This window comes from Homo sapiens, chromosome 12 (genome assembly GCF_000001405.40).
Source record: "Homo sapiens chromosome 12, GRCh38.p14 Primary Assembly".
In the NCBI taxonomy this organism is placed as follows: domain Eukaryota; kingdom Metazoa; phylum Chordata; class Mammalia; order Primates; family Hominidae; genus Homo; species Homo sapiens.
Genome location: NC_000012.12, coordinates 25,143,954 through 25,170,810, shown reverse-complemented (window position 1 = coordinate 25,170,810; position 26,857 = coordinate 25,143,954). Strand labels below are relative to the sequence as shown.

General features: G+C 40.0%; 1 protein-coding gene across 30 annotated transcripts in view, besides 2 other annotated features; it reads left to right on the top strand.

Moving 5' to 3' along the window:
• The window catches only part of DNAI7 (dynein axonemal intermediate chain 7), an 88,114-nt gene that overhangs the window by 24,350 nt on the left and 36,907 nt on the right, over nucleotides 1-26,857 (top strand). For 18 of the 30 annotated variants that reach the window (NR_147909.2, XM_011520723.2, NM_001352064.2 and 15 more), the window contains 7 exons: nucleotides 9,614-9,698; nucleotides 12,248-12,339; nucleotides 15,399-15,500; nucleotides 16,355-16,492; nucleotides 21,037-21,183; nucleotides 23,707-23,810; nucleotides 26,134-26,446. Coding sequence is in view for 27 of the 30 variants with exons in the window: in XM_011520723.2 (XP_011519025.1) it covers nucleotides 9,614-9,698; nucleotides 12,248-12,339; nucleotides 15,399-15,500; nucleotides 16,355-16,492; nucleotides 21,037-21,183; nucleotides 23,707-23,810; nucleotides 26,134-26,446 (981 nt within the window). In the remaining 3 variants the exon portion in view is untranslated. Of the gene's footprint in view, nucleotides 1-9,613; nucleotides 9,735-12,073; nucleotides 12,340-15,398; nucleotides 15,501-16,354; nucleotides 16,493-21,036; nucleotides 21,184-23,706; nucleotides 23,811-26,133; nucleotides 26,447-26,857 lie in introns of all 30 variants that reach the window. The other 12 variants (NM_001319977.2, NM_001352065.2, XM_047429075.1 and 9 more) reach the window with 8 other exon arrangements.
• Nucleotides 404-550: a silencer, noted in NCBI's record as "fragment chr12:25323195-25323341 (GRCh37/hg19 assembly coordinates)". NCBI's record gives its function as "represses an EF-1alpha promoter that drives an FKBP-Casp9 reporter gene in an ReSE screen in HepG2 liver carcinoma cells {active_cell/tissue: HepG2}" and the evidence as "EXISTENCE:reporter gene assay evidence [ECO:0000049][PMID:32094911]".
• Nucleotides 1,229-1,862: an enhancer, noted in NCBI's record as "OCT4-NANOG hESC enhancer chr12:25321883-25322516 (GRCh37/hg19 assembly coordinates)". NCBI's record gives its function as "activates a minimal SCP1, AML or CMV promoter by ChIP-STARR-seq in naive H9 embryonic stem cells {active_cell/tissue: H9 hESC(naive)}" and the evidence as "EXISTENCE:reporter gene assay evidence [ECO:0000049][PMID:30033119]".

Here is a 26,857-nt window from a genome sequence, read left to right as displayed (position 1 = left end):
TTTCCAGTTTTATTCCACTTTGGTGTGAGAGAGTGCTGGATAAAATTTCAATTTTCTTAAATGTATTGAGGCTCATTTTATGGCCTATCATATGATCTATCTTGGAGAAAGTTCCATGTGCTGTTGAATAGAATGTGTATTCTGCAGTTGTTGGATGGAATGTTCTGTATATACCTGTTAAGTCCATTTCTTCCAAGGTATAGTTTAAATCCATTGTTTCTTTGTTGACTTTCTGTCTTGGTGACCTGTCTAGTGCTGTCAATGGAGTATTGAAGTCCTCCATTATTGTTGTGTTACTGTCTGTCTTGTTTCTTAGATCTATTAGTAATTGTTTTTATAAATTTGGGAGCTCCAGTGTTAGGTGCATGTATGTTTAGGATTGTGATATTTTCCTGTTGGACGAGGCTTTTTTTTTTTTTTGAGACGGAGTCTCGCTCTGTTGCCCAAGCTGGAGTGCAGTGGCGCAATCTCGGCTCACTGCAACCTCTGCCTCCTGGGTTCAAGTGATTCTCCTGTCTCAGCCTCCCGAGAAGCTGGGATTACAGGCACCCACCACCACACCAGGGTAATTGTTGTATTTTTAGTAGAGACAGAGTTTCACCATGTTGGTCAGGCTGGTCTTGAACTCCTGACCTCAGGTGATTCACCCCCCTCAGCCTCCCAAAATGCTGGGATTACAGGTGTGAGCTACTGGGCCTGGCTGGGACAAGGCCTTTAACCATTATACACTATCCCTCTTTGTCTCTTTTAACCACTGTTGCTTTAAAGTTTATTTTGTCTGATGTGAGAATAGCTACCCCTGCTCGCTTTTGGTATCCATTTGCATGAAATGCTTTTCCACCCCTTTACTTTATGTGAGTCCTTATGTGTTAGATGAATCCCCTGAAGGCAGCAGATAGTTGATTGGGGAGTTCTTATCCATCTGTGGTTCTGTATCTTTTTTTTCTTTTTTTTTTTTTTTTTGAGACAGAGTCTTGCTCTGTCACCCAGGCTGGAGTACAGTGGTGTGATTTCAGCTCACTGCACCCTCCACCTCTAGGTTTCAAGTGATTCTCTTGCCTCACCCTCCCAAGTTGCTGGGATCACGGGTGCATGCCACCACATCCAGCTGATTTTTGTATTTTTAGTAGAGACAGAGTTTCACCATGTTGGCCAGGCTGGTCTTGAACTCCTGACCTCAGGTGATCCCCCTGCCTTGGCCTCCCAAAGTGCTGGGATTACAGGAATGAGCTATCGCTCCTGGCCTCTGTGTCTTTTAAGTGGAGCATTTAGGCCATTTATATTCAATGTTAGTTTCACTCTCGTCCGTGTGAAGAGACCACCAAACAGGCTTTGTGTGAGCAATAAAGCTTTTTAATCACCTGGATGCAGGTAGGCTGAGTCCGAAAAGAGAGTCAGCGAAGGGAGATGGGGTAGGGCCGTTTTATAAGATTTGGGTAGGTAAAGGAAAATTACAGTCAAAGGGGGGTTGTTCTCTAGTGGGCAGGAGTGGGGGTCACAAGGTGCTCAGTAGGGGAGCTTTTGAGCCAGGATGAGCCAGGAGAAGGAATTTCACAAGATAATGTCATCAGTTAAGGCAGGAACAGGCCATTTTCACTTCTTTTGTGGTGGAATGTCATCAGTTAAGGCAGGAACCAGCCATCTGGATGTGTACGTGCACCTCACAGGGGATATGATGGCTTAGCTTGGGCTCAGAGGCCTGACATTCCTGTCTTCTTATATTAATAAGAAAAATAAAATGAAATAGTGGTAAAGTTTTGGGACAGCGAAATTTTTGGGGGTGGTATGGAGAGATAATGGGCGATGTTTCTCAGGGCTGCTTCAAGCGGGATTAGGGGCAGCATGGGAACCTAGAGTGGGAGAGATTAAGCTGAAGGAAGATTTTATGGTAAGGGGTGATATTGTGGGGTTGTTAGAAGAAACATTTTGTCGTGTAGAATTATTGGTGATGGCCTGGATATGGTTTTGTATGAATTGAAAAACTAAACAGAATAAGAGAAGGAGAAAAACAGGTATTAAAGGACTAAGAATTGGGAGGACCTAGGACATCTAATTAGAGAGTGCCCCAGGGGGTGCAGCGTAATTACTTGCTTGGTTGGCAAGTTTTTGGGCTCTATCCTTGAGTTTTTTATGTTGTCATACACTAGGCCAGATTGATTTAGGTAAAAACAACACTCTTCATTTAAGAATATACGGAGTCCTCCTTTTTCAGCAGTGAGTAAGTCAAGGCCTCGGCGGTTTTGGAGGACAACTGCAGCTAAAGAGTCAACTTGGGCCTGGAGGACTGATAAAGTTTGTGGGATGTCTGTGATGCTAGCAGAGAAGTCATTAGAGAGGCTATGGAAGGTCGTGACAGAGGTTGAAATGCCTGCTATTCCAATACTGAGAGCAATAGTGGAGGCAGAAAGTCTTAAACTGACAAGCACGGGAATTAGTGGAATAACTCTTTTTTGTCGTGTCGGTGTCAGAGGGGAACAGGGAGCTCTTCGGTCCTATTTGCAAATTGAATTTTGGGAGTAAGGAAAACTAGTGTGCATGTACCTGCCCAATTAGCAGGTAGACACATGTAGGTAGAGGATCCACAGAGGAAGAAGAGACCTTGTGCGAGGCAAAACTGGAGATGCAAACTAAAAAGATGAGAAGGAGTGCTGAAAAAGGTGTCTTGTACCTAGACTCCTAGGGATCCAGCTAGGGCGGCAGCCGTCAGAGGTTGTAACGGGAACTGATGAGGTAACTGTGTAGAGGGGGAGGTTCGATTTTCATGGTGTGTGAGAAAACGTCGAGTGTCTACGACCAACCTTTCACTGTTATTTTCGGGGCTGGGTATAAGTAAACAAGAAGAGGGCTTTGGAGATGAAGAGTAAAGGAACATCGAGAAGGTGAAAGGTTACCCAGGGGAATTCCAATGGGTCTTTGACGAGAGATACATAAAGGAGCAGCCACAGGAATAGTAGTTTGTGTTGTGAGGGGTCCAAATATGTGGGGAGTAGAGTTGATATAAGGAGAAAGGTGTTTTAAGTAAGTGCGGAGGAGGGTGGCAGCTTGCTGATGTCAAATGTCTGGGGAGGTCTTGCTGGACCTGTCTAGAAAGTAAATGAGTTCTTCAGGAGGGTAAAGGTGAGGGCTGTTAAAGGAAGTTCGGAGGTATAGGGAGACAGGAGATGTTGCCTAGTCTGCATGTAAGGCGGGGACAGCTGTGTAGGCACTGGAAGAAAGGGAAATGCAAAGCCAGCGGTTGTTCGCTAAGGAGGGATTAGAAACGGCTAGGAGAGAATGAGTAAAGTTGATAGTATGGTGGAGATAGCTGGGGAGAGGTAGAGGGTGGCATAAGAATGGGAATGATAATAAGAGTGAGTATAAAACTAAACAATAGAACTTCATCAGGGTGGAAGTATTGGAGGGTCCCCTGCCAGCAGAGATCATCTATCCACTCTAAGAGGGAGTTAAGAGTTGCCAGTCCTGGGCGGGGGCAAATTCTCGAGCTTGATGTGTAGGGAAGGGAGGGGGACTGAATAATCCCTGAGGAGTAGTAGAATAGCAGATGGAACACTGAGAAGTTATTTCCTTGAGGATAGATTTCCACAATGGAAAGGAAATGAGAGGTTCTAAGAGGTGGGCTGGTGGCTTGTACTATAGCATAGCCTGCCTTTGGTGGTGTGTGGCGATTAGGCCTGGTGAAACTGCCATCAATAGACCAAATGTGTTCAGGGTGAGGAACAGGAAAGGAAATATGGGGAAATGGGGTGAATGTCAGGTGGATCAGAGAGATACAGTCATGGGGGTCAGGTGTGGTATCTGGAATACTGTGGGAGGCTGGATTGAAGTCTGGGCCAGGAACAATGGTAATTGTGGGAGACTCAACAAGAAGTGAGTACAGCTGAAGGAGCCAGGGAGCAGAAAGTATATGCATCAGGTGGGAGAAAGAAAATAGATTTTGGAAGTTATGAGAACTGTAGAGAGTGAATTGAGCATAGTTTGTGATTTTTAGGGCCTCTAAAAGTATTAAAGCAGCGGCAGCCGCTGCATGCAGACATGAGGGCTAGGCTAAAACAGTAAGGTCAAGTTGGACAGAAAGGCTACAGGGTGTGGTCCCGGCTCTTGTGTAAGAATTCTGACCACACTAACCATGCCTAGGAAGGAAAGGAGTTGTTGTTTTGTAGAAGGGATTGGGGTTTGGGAGATTAGCCGGACACGATCAGCAGGGAGAGCACGTGTCTTTATGAGAATTATGCCGAGATAGGTAACAGATGAGGAAGAAATTTGGGCTTGACTGAAGTAATGGGGGCTGTCTGTGAAGCTTTGCGGCAGTATAGCCCAGGTAATTTGCTGAACCTGATGGGTGTCAGGGTCAGTCCAAGTGAAAGCGAAGAGAGGCTGGGATGAAGGGTGCAAAGGAATAGTAAAGAAAGCATGTTTGAGATCCAGAACAGAATAATGGGTTGTGGAGGGAGGTATTGAGGATAGGAGAGTGTATGGGTTTGGCACCATGGGGTGGATAGGCAAAACAATTTGGTTGATAAGGCGCAGATCCTGAACTAACCTGTAAACCTTGTCTGGTTTTAGGACAGGTAAAATTGGGGAATTGTAAGGAGAGTTTATAGGCTTTAAAAGGCCATGCTGTAGCAGGCGAGTGATAACAGACTTTAATCCTTTTAAAGCATGCCATGGGATGGGATATTGGCATTGAGCGGGGTAAGAGTGATTAGGTTTTAATGGGATGGTAAGGGGTGCATGATCAGTTGCTAAGGAGGGAGTAGAGGTGTCCTATACTTGTGGGTTAAGATGGGGAGATACAAAGGGAGGATGTGAAGGAGGCTCTGAACTGGGGGAAAAGGCGGCATTGAGGTGTGGCTGTAGCCCAGGAATAGGCAGGGAAGCAGATAATTTAGTTTAAGTGTCTCGGCCTAATAAGTGAACTGGGCGGGTGGGGATAACTAAAAAGGAGTGCTTAAAAGAGTACTGTCTAAATTAGCACCAGAGTTGGGGAGTTTTAAGAGGTTTAGAAGCCTGGCCGTCAATACCTCCAACGGTTATGGGGGCAAGGGAAACAGGCCCTTGAAAAGAAGGTAATGTGGAATGGGTAGGCTCCGTATTGATTAAGAGGGGGACAGACTTACTCTCCACTGTGAGAGTTACCCAGAGCATCTGTGATGGTCCCGTAGGCTTCCGAGGCAATTGGGCAGTGTCAGTCTTCAGCCGCTAAGCTGAGAAGATCTGGGAAGGAGTCAGTCAGAGAGCCTTGGGCCAGAGTTCCAGGGGCTCTGAAAGTGGCTGCCAGGTCAGTTGAACAGTCCAATTTTCAGTGGGGTCCTGCACAGATGGGACACAGCTTAGGAGGAATCCTGGGCTGTAGGCATTCCTTGGCCCAGTGGCCAGATTTCTGGCACTTGTAGCAAGCTCCTGGGGGAGGAGGTTCTAGAGTAACCCCAGCAGCTGCAGTTCAGGCGTTTGGAGTTCTTGTGTGCTGGAGATATGGCTGGGGTTTGTCTCACAGTGGAGGCAAGGAATTGCAACTCAGAAATACATTGCTACTTGGCTGCCTCTACTTTATTATTGTACACCTTGAAGGCGAGGTTAATTAAGTCCTGTTGTGGGGTTTGAGGGCTGGAATTTAATTTTTGAAGTTTTATTTAATGTCCGGAGCGGATTGGGTAATAAAATGTATATTGAGTGTAAGACGGCCTTTTGACCTTTTAGGGTCTAGGGCTGTAAAGCATCCCAGGGTTGCTGCCAAATGAGCCATGAACTGGGCTGCGTTTTTTATTTGATGAAAAAAGCCTAAACACTATCTGATTTGGGATAAAGAAAAAGGAGCATTAACCTTGACTATGCCTTTAGCTCCAGCCACCTTTTTAAGAGGAAATTGCTGGGCAGGTGGGGGAGGGCTAGTCGCGGAACGAAACTAAGCCGGACCGGGTGTGAGGAGGGGAGGTGATAAAATGATTATAGGGTGGAGGAGTGGAGGCTGAGGAAGAATTGTGACCTAGCTCGGCCTGGTGAGGAGGGGAGAAGTCAGATGGGTCTGTAGAAAAGAAAGATTAGGAAGACTCAGCGACGCGTGGGGTTGGGACTGAGGGGACAGGCGGGAGGGAAAGAAGGAAGACTTGGGATGAGTTGCACTGGGAACAGAGACTAGGGAGGGACTGATGTGTAAAAGAATGCCTGGACGTCAGGCACCTCAGACCGTTTGCCTATTTTGTGACAAGAATTATTTAGGTCTTGTAGGATGGAAAAATTGAAACTGCCATTTTTTGGCTATTTGGAACTACTGTCAAGTTTGTATTGGGGTCAAGCAGGATTGCAGAAGAAAAGGCATTTAGGTTTTAGGTCAGGTGTGAGTTGAAGAGGTTTTAGGTTTTTAAGAACACAGGCTAAGGGAGAAGAAGGGAATGGAGGGCGGGAGCTTGCCCATAGTGAAGGAGGCAAGCCCAGAGAAAAGAGAGAGTAGAGACACAGAGAGAAGGGGTGGGGGGTTCTTGCGCCCCAGAAAAGTGGAGAAGGGGTAGAGACACGGAGAGAAGGGTTGGGGGATTCTTGCCCTCTAGAAAAGTGGTACTTGCTGCTAAGGGTGAAGGAGAAGGGGCTGGGGGTTTCTTGCCCCGCAGAAAAGTGGAGAAGGGGTAGACATGGAGAGAAGGGTCGGGGGATTCTTGCCTCCCAGAAAAGCGGAGAAGGGGTAGAGACACGGAGAGAAGGGGTTGGGGGTTTCTTGCCCTCCAGAAAAGCGGTACTTGCCGCTAAGGGTGAAGGACCAAGGCAGGCGTCCTTGCATGGTCAGACACCTCTGAAACATGGGTGAATAATCAGGCAGCCATCCCCACGTGATTAAACACCAAGGGAAGACTGTCTTCCCAAGTCAGTGACCAGCACCGGAGTTTTGGGTCAATGGATAAAACGCGTCTCCTTTGTCTCTACTAGAAAAGAAAAGGAACTGAAATTAAGAGAAGGGAGAGATTGAAGTGTGGCACCAAGATTGAAAGGAGAAAGAGGTTGAGGGATAGTGAGAGAGGTTGGAGAAGAGAGTAAAAAGAGGCCGCTTACCAGATTTAAAATTGGTGAGATGTTCCTTGGGCTGGTTGGTCTGAGGACCAGAGGTCGTAGGTGAATCTTTCTCATGGAACAAAAAGCAGGACAGGGGATTGATCTCCCAAGGGAGGTCCCCTGATCCAAGTCACGGCACCAGATTTCACTCTCGTCCATATGAAGAGACCACCAAACAGGCTTTGTGTGAGCAATAAAGCTCTTTAATCACCTGGGTGCAGGTGGGCTGAGTCCGAAAAGAGAGTCAGCGAAGGGAGATAGGGGTAGGGCCGTTTTATAAGATTTGCGTAGGTAAAGGAAAATCACCGTCAAAGAGGGGTTGTTCTCTGGCAGGCAGGAGTGGGGGGTCACAAGGTGCTCAGTAGGAGAGCTTTTAAGCCAGGATGAGCCAGGAGAAGGAATTTCACAAGATAATGTCATCAGTTAAGGCAGGAACAGGCCATTTTCACTTTTTTTGTGGCGGAATGTCATCAGTTAAGGCAGGAACCGGCCATCTAGATGTGTACGTGCAGGTCACAGGGGATATGATGGCTTAGCTTGGGCTCAGAGGCCTGACAGTTAGTATTGAAATGTGAGGTACCATTGCTTTCATCATGCTCTTTGTTGCCTGTATACTTTGGTTTTGTTTTTTGTTTTTGCTTTTAAACTTGCATTTTTGTTTTATAGGTCTTGTTTCTGAAAGGAGTGTCTCCCTTTCCCGCTTGCGCAATTGGGGCACTCACCGTATTTGGGGTGTCTCCCAGGTCGTACAGGAGCAGATCGCTCCCTTCACAGGGTCTGTGGGTCCTCTTGGGATTGCTGGTTTGTTCTTGTAGTCAATCTGGAGCTAAAATTCACAATCTGGAGTCTATTTTAAAATTATGTTGATAAATTTGAGCCCATGTGTGTTTTTCTCTGATAAGGTTCAGCTGCTCGTATTGCTAGCACAGAATAAATGGAAAGTTGAGTTTCACTGGAACTATGATTTAGCCAGCTGAGCTTTTTAGAGGAAGAGGAGGATAGAGGAAGTGGAGGTATATAAGTTAGTGATAAGGGCGATGAACTGTGAAATCTAACCTGGGAAAGGAAGAAATGAAGGTGGGAGGAGGTGGATGAACAGTGAAAAAGTGGTAGAGGCAATGGATTAGAGATTCCAGTGGAGCTAATGGAGTCTATGAGCATCTTAGAGAAGGTGAACCAAAAAGAGAAGATCCAAGAGTCTATACATCCCAAGAATTAACCACTCTTTCTATGAATTCTTCTTAAATGTAGATGGTGCTCTTCTTTTTAGCTTTCCCCTGTGAAAATGGAGGAGAGGTCGTTATCACAGAAATTGCTTTCGTATCTGCTTATGTAGCACTGACCTTTGCTAAACCTCAGTTCTACAATTCTAGTGCCTGCAAGAATTGCCTGAATGATCTACCAGCATTTTGTACTAATTATATGTAAATTATTTTTAACAATTCTTCATTCAAATTCACCTGTTCTGGACTGCCATTCTCCCTCTGTGAGACTCTCTCCTCTTTCCTCTCCTTGCCTCCAATTTTAATCATTACTAAGTAAGTTAGCTTATAAAATATTTATTGGATCTTCTCTACATTTCCAGGGCCCACTGACCTTGTTGGCCCATCCAGTGCCCATTCAGCTCCCTATCTTGCACCTTCATTTCCTTCTTTTTGGGATATCTTCCCTTGAATGTTAAAATCCTTTGGCCACAAATTTAGATGCCATCTATTCTATAAACACTCTGCCAGGACTTCAATTTATTGAATTGTGTTAATTGTTGCCAAAATGGTATCCTCTTTATGTTTTTTTCTCCGATACCAGGTTAATTTTCAAAATTATATTCTTTATAGCCACAGCCCTTCTCAAAAACTTTTAGGAGTTTTCCATTTCTCCTAGAATGATGTCCAAACTCTTTAGCATAGGCTCTAGCCTTCTTTCACATTCTCATTTTCTTCACCACCTCTTCTTGGAGTCTTTCCAGGGCCCACTGAACTTGTTGTCCATCCAATGCTCTTTCAATCCCCTATCTTGTACCTGCATTTCCCTCTTCTTGGAATATCTTCTCTGAATGGTAAAAATCATTTGAGCACAGATTTAAATACCACCTACTCTATAAATATTTTACTTGCTCCTCACTGTTGAAAGTAATCTCTCCTTCTTCCAAGCTTGCAAAATAACTCTCTGTATACCTGTTAGTCATAAGAATACTTTTCAATTTTATAAGTGTAGTTTTCAAACTGCTTTTACATATGTTTTACTTTATTCTCTACAACAAGATGAGGTTTTCTTTAGCACCATTTTAAAGATATGGAAACTGGGAATGAGAATTATTTAAATTGCATGTACTTGCCACTGTCACCCTTGCCTTTGAATAATTTATATTCTTATTTTTCTTGTTCCCAGACTTTGTCCTTCAGTGCACTGAGTCAAAGCTTTACACTAAGAGGCAGTCTTATTTGTTGAATGAATGCATGAAAGGCTGGTTTTATGAAAGCAAAAATGTTTTTCATAATTAGTATTTGAAAAGATGTGTTTTTCAAGTAACTTGCATGTTAATAGCCTTTTTTATGATGTGGCCTTTGTTAAGTCTGGCAGTAAGAAAAAGAAAGTCACCAAAGCTGAACGATTGAAGCTGCTACAAGAGGAGGAGGAGAGACGACTGAAAGAGGAAGGTACAAAATAAATAGTGATACTATTTACCTATACAGGTAATAGTCACGATAGGTTGGTCTTTTGTAGTAAAGTCAATATTTTTTCAAAGTTCTTTAATTTTAAAATTTAATCTGTTTTATAATAGGTATCTATCTTTTAGAAAGTATCCAGAAAGATGTTAGTACATGCCAGTCTCTTTCAGATATATATTGAATTAGGGTTGCCAGAGATAAAATACAAGAGCCCAGTTAAATTTAACTTTCAGATAATCACATGGATAATTTGGGATAATTTGTCCCATGCAATACTTGGGACATACTTAACTTAAAAAAAAAATTGTTTTAAATAAAGTTTTGGTGCCGCAAAAGAAATAGCACTCGAATATAAAATTTTCTTTTTATTTCTCAGCAAGGCAAGGTACTTCTATAGAAGGGTGCTCTCTCACCAATGGAGCAATGGTGGGTGCACACTTGGACAAGGGAGGGGAAGGGGTTCTTATCCCTGGCGCCTGTGGCCCCTGCTACTGTGTCATTCCCCTATTGGCTAGGGTTAGACCACACAGGATAAACTAATTCCGATTGGCTAATTTAAAGAGAATGACGGGGTGAGCGCTTTGGCCGGATTCAGGGCAGAGCAGGTAGCAGGTAATCGGAATGAGTTAGGGTGGAGCAGGTGATCAGAATGAGTTAGTGTGGAGTAGGTGATCAGAATGAGTCAGGGTGGAGTCAGTAATCGAAAAAGGTTGCTTTACGAAGAAGTTAAGTTTAAAAGTAGAAGGCAAAGAATTGAACATACTGACATATTAATTCTTTGAAGAGAAATTTAGAATTCATATTCAACAAATGTTTATTGTTCATCTAAAATTCAAATTCAACTGAGCATCCCATGTTTTAATCTGCTAATTCTGGTAACCCTATCTTGAAGTGTTTATATTTACTGATGAAATTAGGAGCATTGGAATTTTAAAAGACCATGTATATTTTTATTCTTTTATAAAAATAAAAGAATAAATAAAACAAAACAAAAAAAGAAATTAGGAGCATTGGTGCTGTTTGTTCAGTAAAAATTCTGAAACTCAAATTCATTAAATGTGGGAAATATAAACTAGCAAGAAATACATAGAGCAGCCTAAATTTTTACAGTTTTATAATATTTATTTGCCAAATTTAAAATACTAATTTTATTTGTTAAAAAACTGATTAAACATTGATAAAAGTGTTTATTAATTAAAGTACCAAAAAGTGATTTTTAAAATCTGAGTATTTAGATAGAGGTTTTTAAAAGACTGTTCTCAGGTTCCATATTGACTTTTTATGTATAATTTTATACATCCTTTTTTTTCGGTGACTCCTGATACAAATACAATATCAGGATCTATATCTTGGGGCATGTTTTATTTATATTGGATTAAACTTATACTCTTCAATATGTACTTCACATTTTGTTTTTAATAGTGAGAGCAGGAGAAGATTAAGGTAATTGCATCTGAGATGTAGATGTCACAAGATTATGGAAGTCTTCTGAAGGCTTGACTTCCTCTTCATTGCCATGATAGGTCTGCCATACCTTATTGGTTAAAATCACTATTGGATTGCTATAAACCTTTTGGAGAAGAAAAATATTATTGTGGCTTATTTTTTATTTTTTTATTTTTGACCACAAAGTTTGAATCATGTTACTTTCTTTCTTTTTTTTTTTCTTTTTTTTTGGGAAATGGGAATTTGTCTCAACCTTTATTTTGACACATTCAGCAGGAGATGATGGATGTTTTAAATTACTCTTGATAAGAAGCTATCAGTAGGAGTTATTTTGTTTCACAGACCCTGGCAGGTCAAAAACATACTCAAATCGAATAAATATTCTCAAATTAAGTAGGGGAATAATAAGGCCGAGTAGCTCCTGCTGCAGAGAGGAAGCACATCTAAAGCTACAGTGAGTGCTCAAGGGAGCCACTCCTACATCATTTCCACAAGAAGCAAAGAAGAGACAATGGCTGGGAGTCATGTGTCTTTATAGTAGCATGATTTATAATCCTTTGGGTATATACCCAGTAATGGGATCGCTGGGTCAAATGGTATTTCTAGTTCTAGATCCTTGAGGAATTGCCACACTGTCTTCCACATTGGTTGAACTGGTTTTCAGTCTCATCAACATTAGTGTTCCTATTTCTCCACATCCTCTCCAGCACCTGTTGTTTCCTGACTTTTTAATGATCGCCATTCTAACTGGTGTGAGATGGTATCTCATTGTGGTTTTGATTTGCATTTCTCTGATGACCAGTGGTGATGAACATTTTTTCATGTGTCTGTTGGCTGCATAAATGTCTTCTTTTGAGAAGTGTCTGTTCATATCCTTTGCCCACTTTTTGATGGGGTTGTTTGATTTTTTCTTGTAGTTACTGTCTTGAAGAAAGGAGAACTGACACTTTTCTCATATCTACCATGTAATAAAGACTGTGACTTCTATAAAAGATTCCACCACTACATCTTGAAAATATTAGGAGTAATTTTAAGGGCTTAAAAATACAGTGATCTATTCACTGAGAAAAAAATTATTTTTGGTTCTTTAGAGGAAGCCCGTTTGAAATATGAGAAAGAAGAAATGGAAAGGCTTGAAATACAGCGAATTGAGAAAGAAAAATGGCATCGACTTGAAGCAAAAGTAAATAAACATTAATAATGTTCTTAATGAATACTTAAACTATGGCTATCAGATTTATTGTCATTTAATGTCCTTCTCAGCCCATAGCTACCAGTAATATTTAGGCCTACATGAACTTAATCGTACCATAGAATAAGTGACATTGTTATCCAGATTTCACAGATGAGGAAATTGAGGCATAGAGAAATTAAGCATCTAATCAGTGGCATAGCAAAGACTTGGATCTTCTTTTTTTTTTTTCTTGAGATGGAGTCTCGCTCTGTTGCCCAGGCTGGAGTGCAGTGGTGTGATCTTGGCTCACTGCAAGCTCCGCCTCCTGGGTTCACGCCATTCTCCTGCCTCAGCCTTCCGAGTAGCTGGGACTACAGGTGCCTGCCACCACACCCGGCTAATTTTTTGTACTTTTAGTAGAGATAGGGTTTCACCTTGTTAGCCAGGATGGTCTCCATCTCCTGACCTTGTGATCCGCCCCCCTCAGCCTCCCAAAGGGCTGGGATTACAGGCGTGAGCCACCATGCCTGGCTGCCAAGACTTAGATCTAAGCAAGTCTTGCTGCAGAGCCTATGCTTGTAACCTTTAAGCATACATGAATCTGTTGTATAGACAAGATAACAGGAACAAAAAAAAAAAAAAATTCAAAATATTCAAATTCTACCTCTCCTTTTTTAGTTTCACTTCTCTGTTTCACTAGAATCTTTTAGATCAGTAATTCTGAAATATTCTGGTCTCAGGACAAAACTCCATTACTATTAAAAACTGAAGACCCTCCAAGGAGCTTATGTTTATGTGGATTACATCTATCAATATTTACCATATTAGAAATTAAAACTAAAAAATTTTAAACTGCTTACATTAACAGACATTACATGTTGATAAAAATAAATTTTATTAAACATAAGTAAATACATGGATATTTTTAAAGAAACAACTTTTTTTTAAAATTAAGGAAATGATGGCATTGTTTATATTTTAAAAATTTATTTGATATCTGACTTAACAGAAGACAGCTGGATTCTCATATCTATTTCAGTATTCCATCTGTTGCAATATGTTGTTTTGTATGAAGCATATAAGGAAAATCTGGCCTTATACAGATATGCAATTGAAAAAAAGTAATATTTTAATAGCCTTTCTGATAATTGTGGATATTCTTCTTTGATACTGTATCAAAACTTTTTTTTTTTTTTTTTTTTTGAGACGGAGTCTCTCTCTGTCGCCCAGGCTGGAGTGCAGTGGCACAATCTCTGCTCTCTGCAAGCTCCGCCTCCCGGGTTCACGCCATTCTCCTGCCTCAGCCTCCCGAGTAGCTGGGACTACAGGCACCCGCCACTGCGCCTGGCTAATGTTTTTTGTATTTTTAGTAGAGACGGGCTTTCACCGTGGTCTCAATCACCTGACCTCGTGATCCACCCGCCTCGGCCTCCCAAAGTGCTGGGATTACAGGTGTGAGCCACTGCGCCCGGCCAAGTTGTAGTTTCTTAATGTGGAATATGAAACCATATCAGTCAACTATTCATACTCTGTTATTTTAAAACATTGATCTATCTTACCCTCTGAACAGATCTTGTTTTCATACATGATTTGGCATTATCATGTGTTGCTTGCTTGAAAAGTTTTGGTTTACTGAATTATTTGCTTCCAAATGTTGATGTAATTGATTATTCATTATCAAAAATCACATACATTAGTATAATCACCAACCAAATCAGAAGATTTTTTCATTTTTTTTTTGAGACAGAGTCTTGTTCTGTCACCCAGGCTAGAGTGCAATGGCATAATCTCGGCTCACTGCAACCTCCACGTCCCAGGTTCAGGCGATTCTCCTGCCTTAGCCTCCCGAGTAGCAGAGATTACAGGCACCCGCCACCGCGCCCGGCTAATTTTCGTATTTTTAATAGAGATGGGGCCAGGCTGATCTCGAACTCTCCTGACCTTGTGATCCATGCACCTCTGTCTCCCAAAGTGCTGAGATTACAGATGTGAGCCACCACGCCAGGCCCAAATCAGAAGTTTTTAAAGATCGGAATACTTTCAAGCTTACAGTGATAGATACAAGTTTTCTAAAATTTGAATTTTTGCCTGACAGCTTGAATTTTGTCATTGGCAACAGATATTTTGAGTTGTATCCTTGAAGTGACACACTCCATTCATTCATTTTTGAGAGAATGTCTACCAAATTAGTCAAATAATTGCACAAGTGATATTTCTCAAGACAGTATTGTCATTCGATATGCAGCAGAAGAGCTTTATGCTGACTTCCCATTTTATCCAACAGGCTATTAAAAAGACATGTACTTAGGGTTCAGATTTAATACAATTAATAATTTTCACCTCTTCATCAGGGCATTCTTTTTTTTTTTTGTAACGTGATTTAGAGTCTTGCCCTGTCATCCAGGCTGGAGTGCGGTTGCGCGATCTTGGGTTAGTGGAACCTCTGCCTCCAGGGTCAAGCAGTTCTCCCCCTTCAGCCTCCTGAGTAGCTGGGATTACAGGCACACGCCACCATACCCGGCTAATTTTTGTATTTTTGGTCGAGATGGTGTTTCACCATGTTGGCTGGTCTCGAACTCCTGACCTCAAGTGATCCGCCTGCCTCAGCCTCCCAAAGTGCTGGGATTACAGGCGTGAGCCACTGCACCCATCCATCCGGGCATTCTTTTGTGAAGCTGGCTCCTTCCCTTCACCTCTCCCCCTAGAAGTAGTACAGTTTGGGGTCACTGTCTGATCTGTGCTAAGACATCAGCACTTTCACACCATCTTGCACAATCAGTGCAAATAGATACACGATGAAAAAGTCAAATAATGTTAGTATTATTATGGAAATAGATTTGACCTCACAGATCCCAGGTTTTAGGTACCCATCAAGAGTCTGTAGATCACACTTTGTAAGCCACTGTTTCAGATGAAACCTTTTGGAGATATCAGTTATATTCAAACTAATTTTAATATTCATTTTGAAACTGCAGTTATATATTTAGCCACGTCAGTTTTAGATGCTACTTGTGAAACATAAAGTTAAAATTAAAGAGCTGATCAATGTATCTGTCCTTGTGCAACAGGATCTAGAAAGGAGAAATGAAGAACTTGAAGAACTTTATTTATTAGAGAGGTGTTTTCCTGAAGCAGAGAAATTGAAACAGGAAACTAAATTGCTTTCTCAGGTAGGACTGATTTCTCTTTTTTAGCTAATACCTTTGTCACCACAAGAGGGAGGTGTAGTCCAATTTTGATGCCAAGAAAAGAAACTAAATTTTTCTGTTTTAAAAAACCCTCTCATCTGACAAATTGATTGCTTATGGCAAAGTAAACTAACATAACTTTGTAGAAAGCTATTTGTCAGTAATAATGTCCTTGAAATGTTTATATTCTTTGACTCTGACTCAATTGCTGGGAATGTATACTTAGGGAAATTATGCTAAATTAAAACGTAAAAGCTTTGTGCTTAAGGCAATCTAGTCTTGCTCAAAACTGCATAACTTTGGAAATAATATAGGTGAATATCAGGAGAAAAATGAAAAACTATTATAATATGGCTAAAGATTGTGGTATAATCAAGTGAAAAATTCTAAGTACAGTACAATATGATTACAAATGTGAAATTTGCATAAACTACAAAATGAATGGAAGGCCTTCTACTAAAATGCCAGTGGCAACTAGACATTAGTAATAACTTGGGAAGTAGAAATTAGCCTAAGTGTTGGCCTTTGCAAATAAGCAGCTCTATGATTAGAGAGGAAAACTAAGCAAAACAAAACTACTTATAAATAATGCTTTAAAAATAAAAATGTGAAAGTATTTTAGTGCTTCTATGTATCTGAATATTAAGGATTAGAAGTTACTTGGATAAAGAAGAACTTGGTTATTTTAGAGCTCTCTCAAGTTACTGGTTAAAGCCATCATGTTTTTATCTAAGTTGGTTAAACTAGGTTATAAAAATTCACCTTCAAAAAAGAAGTCATTTAATCTTTGGTTGAATCTTCATCAATGTGAACCTTTAAACATTTTTATTCCACAGTGGAAGCACTACATTCAATGTGATGGGAGTCCTGATCCTTCAGTAGCCCAAGAAATGAACACGTTTATTAGTTTGTGGAAAGAGAAAACAAATGAGACTTTTGAGGAAGTGATTGAGAAGAGTAAAGTAGTGCTAAATGTAGGTATTTATGCATTTTCCTATAAACTGGCTATTACAAATAGTCTGATATTAACTCAAAATAAAAATTAATATATCATTTGCCAAGTAATAACACTACTGCTTTTGAACCCTTAGCAAAAGAAGTAATTGGTAATCTTTTCATTTTCTTTTTTCTTTTTTACAAGTCCTAAGAATTCCTTGCCATATTAGCTAAGGTCAGCATATCATAAAACATTGATTATTTGTCTGTCTAATCAAGAAAAAAAAATCAAGTTGCATGCATTCATGTAGATAACTCGGGTGGGGGTAGTGGGTAATTTTATCCTCAGTTGGAATATCCACTGTTCAGTAATTTAGTACCCATGATTTTTCATGTTTACTAGGTGCCAGGTATACACTCTGTTAGACAGTGGGGGTACAAAGACAAATCAGAATATTCTAACTTTTGTTCCTGCAAATAGGATGGTTAGACTAGCCTGAGAAGCTGCCACTTTACAATGCACTTAAAAATACTGGGGGAAAAAAAACTAATTTATTAAAAAAAATTTAAATTCATTGCTTTAATCAAAAAAAGTAAGGTAAAACCTTAGAGGCCATAAAACAATCCAGAAAGTAAGAAGGTCTTGAAGCCATGGCTTCATAGCTAACTAGTTAGTGGCTTAGCTAGCTAACTGCTATGGCTTAGCATTGGTTCAAAGGGCCATCAGGAGGCAAAGCCTAGAGTACATACAAGGTGGTAAGTTGAACCAGAGACTCCTGTATGGCTGGGAGCCTCAAAAGACATTATGGATAACAGGAAAAATTTATTGTGCAAAAGGAGATAAGATGCGTTTGGCTTATCTTTAGCTTAGTGAATAAGAAACAAAAATGTCTCCACTAAGAATTTTTATTTATTTATTTATTTAATTAATTTTTTGAGACGGCATCTCGCTCTGTCACCCAGGCTGGAGTGCAGTGGCGTGATCTCGGCTTACCGCAACCTCTACCTCCCGGATTCAACCAATTCTCATGCCTCAGCCTCCCAATAGCTGGAATTACAGTCATGTGCCACCACACCTGGCTAATTTTTGTATTTTTAGTAGAAATGAGGTTTCACCATGTTGGCCAGGATGGTCTCAAACTGCTGACCTCAAATGATCCAGCAGCCTCAGCTTCCCAAAGTGCTAGGATTACCACTGCACCTAGCCAAGAATTTTTAATGAGGAGTGAATCAAAAGTTGGATTGGAAAATTTACCAGAAGACAGCACAGAGACAAAGAGATAGAAAATATGAAAGAGCAGTTGACAGGCATGTATTATAGAGTAACAAGGGCTAAAAAAGAAAAGAAGGGATACAGAAGAATGGAAGAGAGACAATATTCAAAGAGATAATGGCTGAAAATTTTCCAGAATTGATGAAAGATGTGAATCCTCACATTCAGGAAGCTCAAGAAATTCTAAGTAAAACGAAAAACTAGCGTTTATACTTTTAACACTTCTGACACCAAATGTATGTGGGGTTTTCTCACACCAACCAATTATCCAACTCTCCAGATTCCTACTGAAGTGTCCTTCGATCCAGTGCTGGTACTGAGTACTTAGAGCTAGTGCAGACCCCCGTCCCACAAAACTGCCCTTTCCTTCACTTCCAATCACAAGTCCCAGCTTGTCACCTGTACTTCTGATCAGCCTGTTATAAATCAGCCACAAGCCATTGGTCAGGTTATTTGCTGTAATGGCTCACAAAACTCAGAGAAACATTTACTCGCCTTTACTGGTTTATTATAAAGGATATTACAAAAGATACAAGTGAAAAACTAGATGAAGAAATACAAGGGGTGAGGTCCGTAGGGAGGAGTGTAGAGCTTCCGTGCCCTCTTGGGGCACACCACCCTTCCAGCACCTCAATGTGTTCACCAACCGGAAAGTTCTCTGAACCTCGTTGTTTGAGTTTTTTATGGAAACCTCATTTATGTAGGCATGCTTGATTAAATCATTTGCCGTTGGCATTTAAGTTCATCTTCATCCCCTCTCCCCATCCTGGAGGCTAGGGAGTGGGGCTGCAAGTTTCAGCCCTCTAATCACATGGTTGGTCCCTCTGGCAATCAGCCGCCATCCTCTGAGACTCATCATATTAGCATAAACTCAGGTGAGGTTGAAAAGGGCTTATTATAAATAACAAAAGCTGTTTCTGTCATTCCTATCCCTCAAGAAATTCTAAGAAGCTTGTGCCAGGAACAGGGGGCAGAGACCAAATATTTATTTCTTTTTATGTCACGTCAAGTTAGGATAAATACATTCACACTTAAACACACTTATATGATAATAGAAACTAGAAGGAATTCACTACTCTTATTCCTATTATTATCCTTTAATGCTTTTTTGGTCCACTTCCTCACAGTTTTATGCTTCCTGTCATTGCTGCTATAGTTTAACTTCTTCATGTTGTCATAAGAGGGTAGAACTGTAGACTCTTTTAAGCTCATACCATGCATTGCGAGATTTAATCTAAACAACAAGATTATAAGAGTCATTTAACAAATAAACATAGATTGTGATTTGCTTGCAGTCCACTGTGAGACCTTAGATGGACCTTACTCTGACTTTCCGTAGGCCCAAGGAGTCTCCCGTGCAGTCTGAGCTATTTAAATGCCTGTGGATTAATCATACAGTGTTCTTGCTACTACACATCCTGTCTACCAGAGAGGCTGCCATGGCATGACGTCAGCTTAGGAATCTGGTACTTTGCAGTTAGCAGGGAGGCAGTGGGAAGTAGTACTAGAGTTCACCAGTGATGAGCTGCAAGGGACATCTTCCTGTTACAAGAATGAGGAGTCAGAAGTAGAAGTAATAGCAAAAACGATGAGAAAAGGATAAGTTCAATAACACAGGAGACAGAAGAGGGGAGTAATCACAACAATAGGAAAGGAAGAAAGCAGAAAGCTGCAGAAAAGTGGAGTTGGATAGCAGTAACAGAAGGAAATGGCCCTGTAGTAAACACCAATTTCCAAATTTTCAAATTTATTTAATAAACTCTTATATAGTGCTTAATCTATGCCAAGCTTTGGAAATATTGGCTTTCTGAGTTCTCATAATAACACTAGGAGATAGGTACTAAAAACCCCATTTTTCCAATGAGGAAATTGAGGCAATAACTTGCCCAAGACCCCACTGCTAGTTGAGAGGTGGCCAGGATTGAAGCCCTGCATTCTTGTTTGAGTCCATACTACCCTACGCTACGATGCTGCCTGTCTTAATTCAGAAAATTTCTATGTATTATCTGTGTTAGTGTTCAAAATTTAATTCTGCCACTTACTAGTTGTTCCTTCATCACACTGTGCCTCAGTTTCATTATCTGTAAAATATGCACAGTAACAATATCTACCTCATAGAGTTATAATGAAGAATGAATGCATTAAAACATATACAGCATTTAGAACAGTTCCTGGTGCATTGTAAGCATTCAGTAAAAATATTAGTAGTTCTCTTCCATCTCCTTCTCCTGATTGTTGTTATATTTTGTTGTTTTTTCTATTATCTCTCAGTCTTAGGTAATGACAAGTTGCCACTCGTTTATTAACTTGCTAATGAAAGCTGTCACACATAGTTAACTGGTAGATCCGAGGGTTTAATTAGATTCAGAGCCACCATTTTCAGCAAGAAGGCATCATAGGTTATGTTGTGTTCTTCATACTGCATCCTATCAGAAGCCATATGATGTTCCATTATTAATTTTTTTTTTTTTTTTTTTTTTTTGAGACAGAGTCTCACTGTCTCCCAGGCTGGAGTGCAGTGGTGCAATCTCGGCTCACTGCAAGCTCCGCCTCCCGGGTTCACACCATCCTCCTGACTCAGCCTCCCGAGTTGCTGGGCCTACAGGCGCCCGCCACCACACCTGGCTAATTTTTTGTATTTTTAGTAGAGATGGGGTTTCACTGTGTTAGCCAGGATAGTCTTGATCTCCTGACCTCGTGATCTGCCCGCCTTGGCCTCCCAAAGTGCTGGGATTGCAGGCATGAGCCACTGCGCCCGGCCTCCATTATTAATTTAATGATGCGAATTTGATCACATGGTTAAGGTGTTTGCCATCAAATCTCCACATTGCAAAGTACATTTTCCCCAATCAGAGGTCAAATACTTTGGCACTGGGACAATTATGTGTTCCTCAACAGCTTTTCACCTAATCATTTAGGTAGCCATTGAGGATCTTTATCTGAAGCAGTTATTACACTGGGGATTGAAAAATGGTGATTTGCTAAGTGATCATTGCATCTACATTAGACAGATGGCACTCTTCTGTAAAGAACTGGTCTTTCTTCACCCCACCTTCCCCCTTCATTTCTGAACGTCTAACACTATAGACTCATGGATTTTTATTTATTCAGTGTGTTATAATTAATTTTAAGGGAGTTTGGGAGGAAATTTTTGTTTATGATCTTAAATTACAGAATAAATACAGGAAAGGTTTCTATATGTTTTGCTAAGGATGTGTTCCTCAATTCAAAAGGGATAAAACATTCCCTTTTTCACTTGTCCTTGACTATTTCTCTGAGAATTAATGCAAATATTCTTTTACTTTACAGTTAATTGAGAAATTGAAATTTATTTTACTGGAAACTCCACCATGTGATTTGCAAGATAAAAATATAATACAGTACCAAGAATCAATACTACAACTGCAGGAGCTCCTTCATCTTAAATTCGGTGTAGCCACAGAAATACTTCTCAAAGTAAGTGTGATATTTTGCTTATATATTAAGTTTTATAAGAGCTAACATTTTATGTTATAAAATAATCCAGTATTTTTTAAATTGAAAAATGAAGAGATTATGGAAAAGTTAGCAGAATAATTTAGAGTACATATATTTATCCAGATTTAATAACTGATAATATTTTATTTTTAAACATAATTTATTTTGTTTTGTTTTGTTTTTTAGAGATAGTAAAGATGGGATCTGCCTGTGTTACCCAGGCTGGTCTCAAACTTCTGGACACAAACAGTCTTTCTTCCTTGGCCTCCCAAAGTACTGGGATTACATGTGTGAGCCACTGCTCCCCGCCAAATATTTTATTTTTAAAGAAATAGAATACTATTTCTATTTGCTATTAAAAGTAATGGCAAAAACCGCAATTACTTTTGCACCAACCTTATTATTCTTAGGATAATAATATGTAAGGATAGGATAGGAGACCTCATCCTAATATATATATTAGCCAAGCATGGTTTGCCTGTTGTCCCAGCTACTTGGGAGCTTGAGGTGGGAGCATCGCTTGAGTCCAGGATGTCAGTGCTGCAGTGAACCACTGCACTTCAACCTGGGCAACAGAGGCAGACTCTGTCTCAAAAAAATAAAAGTAAGAATAGAAGAAGAAGGAGAAGAAGAAGAAACTATAATGTTATATCTGAAATGGAAATATCAGCATGAACCAGATTTCTTTTTATTCTATAAATAGGATGTGGGATTTCAGTTCTGGGGCAGGAAAAGTGAAAGATGAGGCTGGATTATCTTACTGTGCTAGAAGGCAAGCAAACACTCAGAGACTAATGACATTGTATGAAAGGGATGCCGTTAGCTAAGAGGCTAGCTTAGAAGTCCCACTGATCAAATTTGGAATAATTTGAATATCAGAATAATGATTATAATCAATTATAACAAATTGAATAAATAAAAATTTATGAGTTTATAGTGATACTTCAGAAACAAAGGGGGAAGGTGGAGTGAAGAAAGAACAGTTCTTTACAGTAGAATGCCATCTATCTAATGTGGATGCAGTGATCAGTTAGGAAATCACCATTTTTCAATCCCCAGTGTAATAACTGTTTCAAATAAGGATCCTCAGTGGCTACCTAAATGATTAGGTGAAAAGCTGTTGAGGAATACATAATTCTTCTAGTGCCAAAGTATTTGACCTCAGATTGGGGAAAATGTACTTTGCAGTGGGGAGATTTGGTGGTCAGCACCTTAAGCAAGCGATCAAGTTCATATCATTAATAGTGGAACATCATATGTCTTCGATAGAATGCAGTATGAAGAATACAGCATAACCTATGATGCCTCCTTGCTGAAGATGGTGGATCTGAATCCAGTTAAACCCCTAGACCTTCCAGTGTACAAAAATAAAGAGGATAGAGGAGCCAGTTAAACAATGCCATGAGGAAACAATAATAGAAATCCACAATATGGGACAGTTCTACAAGACAATTGTCCTGAACACTTCAAAAAGTTAGTTTCAGAAAATAAAAAGTGTGCAGGAATAATCACACTTAAAAAAATTAATAATAAATATAATCTTCAACATTTTAAAGTTTTTACATTCTAGCAACCACATATTTACTTATTCAAACCCTTTATGACAGCTGATTCCTTGAGCAATAGGCATCAAACTGTGTTAGTTTTTATTTTAAAATTCTTAACATACTTGAATTTTATGGTTAATATTGGATATTAAATATTAGACTAGTGAAAACATGACTTATCTGGATTTTATAAGCTAGATATTTTGCTTTCTAAACTTGGTGTGTTCGGAGATAGGTTAACTTTTGCAGTAGAATAGTCTACAGTATAATAAGATACAGATAAAGCAGCATGTGTATAGTTAAAATGAAAAGTCATGATTCTGATGTTATGACTGAGAAAGGTAACATATTAATCCACAGGTGCTACCCAGAAATGTAGAAGCAACTTTATTTTTCACTTTTCTGAGACCCAGTCTTGCTCTGTCACCCCGGCTAGAGTGCATGGTGCAATCATGGCTCACTGCAGCCTCAACCTCCCAGACTCAAGCAATACTTCCACCTAGGATCCTCCCAGCTGCCAGGTAGCTGGGACTACAGTTGCACACCACCACACCCAGCTAATTTTTTGTAGAGATGGGGGTGGTCTCATTATGTTGCCCAGGCTTTTCTTGAACTCCTGGACTCAAATGATCCTTACGACTTGGCCTACCAAAGTGCTCAGATTACAGGTATGAGCCACCTCACCCAACCTAAGAGCAACTTTAATTCTTAGACACCTTAGGAGAAACTGAATGGAAAAAGGAGATGCATATTTAAGTAAGTAAATATGTTTGCATTTTTAGAGAATTTTTTTAAACAATTCTTTGTCATGTTGATTGAACCTTATTTTTACCCAAGTTACTCTCTTAGGTGATTAATAAAGGGAATCCAACACATAAGTGATAAAGTAACTTATCTAATTTGTATAATTTATGAGGCCTGTGGCCCTTTATAATGTTTTCTTTTTCTCTTACAGCAAGCTAGTACTTTGGCAGATCTGGACAGTGGAAATATGGAAAAAGTCATTAAAGATGAAAATGTTACTCTGTATGTGTGGGCAAACCTCAAGAAGAATCCAAGGTACCCTTGTGGGCAATACTTTCCCTGTAGGTGGAAAGAAAGACATTGAGCCACATCATGATTGCCAGATAGATGCCTATTGCATAGCAGCATGGTGTGTTTGGAAAAGCCCATTTCAGGAAGTTAGCCCACTAAGGGTTGAATCAGAAACCCGCCATTTTCTTACACAAGTTACTTTGTTGAGCTTCAGTATATCATCAGTAAAATGATGATTGTGTCACTTAATAGGATTGGATTGAAGATTAAACATTAGTGCATGTGTTATAGCATAGTTATAGCATAGTGTTTATTACAAATATACACTCATTAAATACCAGGTCTTCCTCTTCTCTTTACCCACTTAACTCCTCTGCCCTCCAAAAAAGTAGAAGTGGTAGGTGCTTTCTTTTTCTTTTTTTTTTGAGACACAGTCTTGCTCTGTCGTCCAGGCTGGAGTGCAGTGGTGTGATCTCGGCTCACTACAGCCTTTGCCTCCTAGGTTCAAGCGATTCTTTGTGCCTCAGCCTCCTGAGTAGCTGGGATTACAGGTGCACGCCACCACACCTGGCTAATTTTTTTGTATTTTTAGTAGAGACGGGGTTTCACCATGTTGGTCAGGTTAGTTTCAAACTCCTGACCTCAAGTGATCAGCCTGCCTCGGCCTTCCAAAGTGCTGGGATTACAGGCGTGAGCCACTGCGCCCAGCTAATAGGTACTTTCTATATGGCAATCTGGATTTTTTTTTTTTAATGTATCTTTGTGACTTAAAAATAATAGGTTTTCTTTTCTTTTTTTTTTTGAGACAGAGTTTGGCTCTTGTTGCCCAGGCTGGAGTGCAAGGGCGCAATCTCGGCTCACTGCAACCTCTGCCTCCTGTGTTCAAGCGATTCTCCTGCCTCAGCCTCCTGAGTAGCTGGGATTACAGGCATGTGCCACCATGCTTGGCTAATTTTGTATTTTTAGTAGAGACGTGGTTTCTCCATGTTAGTCAGGCTGGTCTCAAACTCCCGACCTCAGGTGATCCGCACATCTCGGCCTCCCAAAGTGCTGGGATTACAGGCGTGAGCCACTGCGCCCGGCAAACATAATAGGTTTTCATATGTGTATTTCTTGGACATTTTAGTGCTATTTCCCCAATAGTTTTCAACAAAGAAACATCTTTCTGAGGAATGACAGTGACGATGGCAAATTCATGAGTGCTTGGTTGCTGCTTGATCTTTAAACATTTTAAGTTACTTGCATTAGTATAGCAGTGAGTTTTAGAGAAAAATTACCAGAATAAAAATTAGGAGGCCTAGGTTCTGGTCCTACCTCTGAAAAGACTAGCTATGTGACATTTAAAAAAAACTAGACTTTATTTTTGATAGTTAGTAAAAGGGAAGAAAAAAATATTTCCTAAGTTCCTTCCATTTGCTATGAAAAACAAAAAAACCAACTTTTTGGTTTACATCTAATCAGAGACAATATAGTAACCTTTCTCATTGTAAAATATGTCAAGTACAGAAAAGTTAAGGAAATAACTCTTTATAGTTTTAAAAGAATAAAAATAAAATGAATAGCTCTGTACTCACTACCCAGGTTTAAGAAGAGAATTAGGTGGTGTCTTTTACGAGATAAGGAATAGTGCAGGCAGAACAAGTTTCACTTTGATGGTGATTGGGGTGGGGGTTGTAAGGATGATGAGTTCTGTGCTCAACTGGCTGAGTTTGAAGTACTTACAAGATATCAAAGTGCAACTGGCTGAAGGCACTGAGAGAAATCTGAGGTGTAGTATATTTTGAGGAGTCATCAACATATAGACCAATGGTTCTTCACTTTTTGGGAGTCATAGATTCTTCCGAATGTCAAGTAATTACAGATGCTTGCACTTGTGGAAGGGCATTTTTAGACCGCTTAAAGTCCATTCAGAGATGCATCATACTCCTACCCAAACCTAGGAAAAATAAAGCTCATATTACAAACCTCTGATAGTATAGATAGTAATTCAGGCCACAGAAGTAAAAATATCCAGAGAGTGTATGTTGAGGGAGAGGAGAAAAAGGGCTTAGGATGGAGCACTGAGTAATATCAACATTGAAGGGATGGTTAGGAAGAAGGCCATATAGAGGAGACAGAAGGAACTTCCAGAGATGGAGAAGACTGTGGGGTTATGGATCCCAATAAACTGTTTTGAGAAGGATAGCATCAGCAACTGGGTCCAAATGCTGCAAAGAAAGCACATATGATCAGAGTCAAAATTGGAGCAAAATTAAAGTGAAGAGAAATACTGCTTAGGTATAAATTTGACACAGATCTAGAGTTTCCTAGGGTCTCATCTTTTTTTGTTGTAATTAATTATTAACAGGCACAGAAGTGTTAGATTCTCTGAAACACAAATTGGATTTGAGATTCCAAGGATATTAGCAACAAGTGACATTGCTGTACGACTCCTGCATACCCACTATGATCATGTTTCTGCACTGCACCCTGTTTCAACACCATCAAAAGAATACACTTCTGCAGTAACTGAGCTTGTCAAAGATGATGTTAAGAATGTAGAAAAAGCAATCAGCAAGGAGGTCGAAGAAGAGTCCAAACAACAAGAAAGAGGGTCTCACTTAATTCAGGAGGAAGAAATAAAAGTTGAGGAGGAACAAGGTGATATTGAAGTGAAAATGGTAGGACACATTTAAATATACACATTTTTTTATTCATGCAGCATGCGTTATTAGATTCCCTTAAAGTGTTCTCAAGATTTTTCCTAAACAACTGGAAATTGTCTGGGAGCCACTTTCTTGCCAGTGCCTCAATTTTTAATATGTATCTTTTTCTTGCCTTCCATTAATAGTCAATTAATAGTTGAGCCACTAGCTTCAACATCCTAAAGTTCAGCACAGGAATTGCTTATTTTTATATTAGGTGCACAACCGGGCAGCTTTGATGCCATTTAATTTTTGTATATTTATTATATATTTCAAATTCAAGGGAACTTGCCATTAAATGGAAACTTACAGTAAATAATCTTATATTACCCTGTTACTTCCTCAGTTTTTGGTTTTGTAAGAAATAATTTTATAAAGTAAAAATTA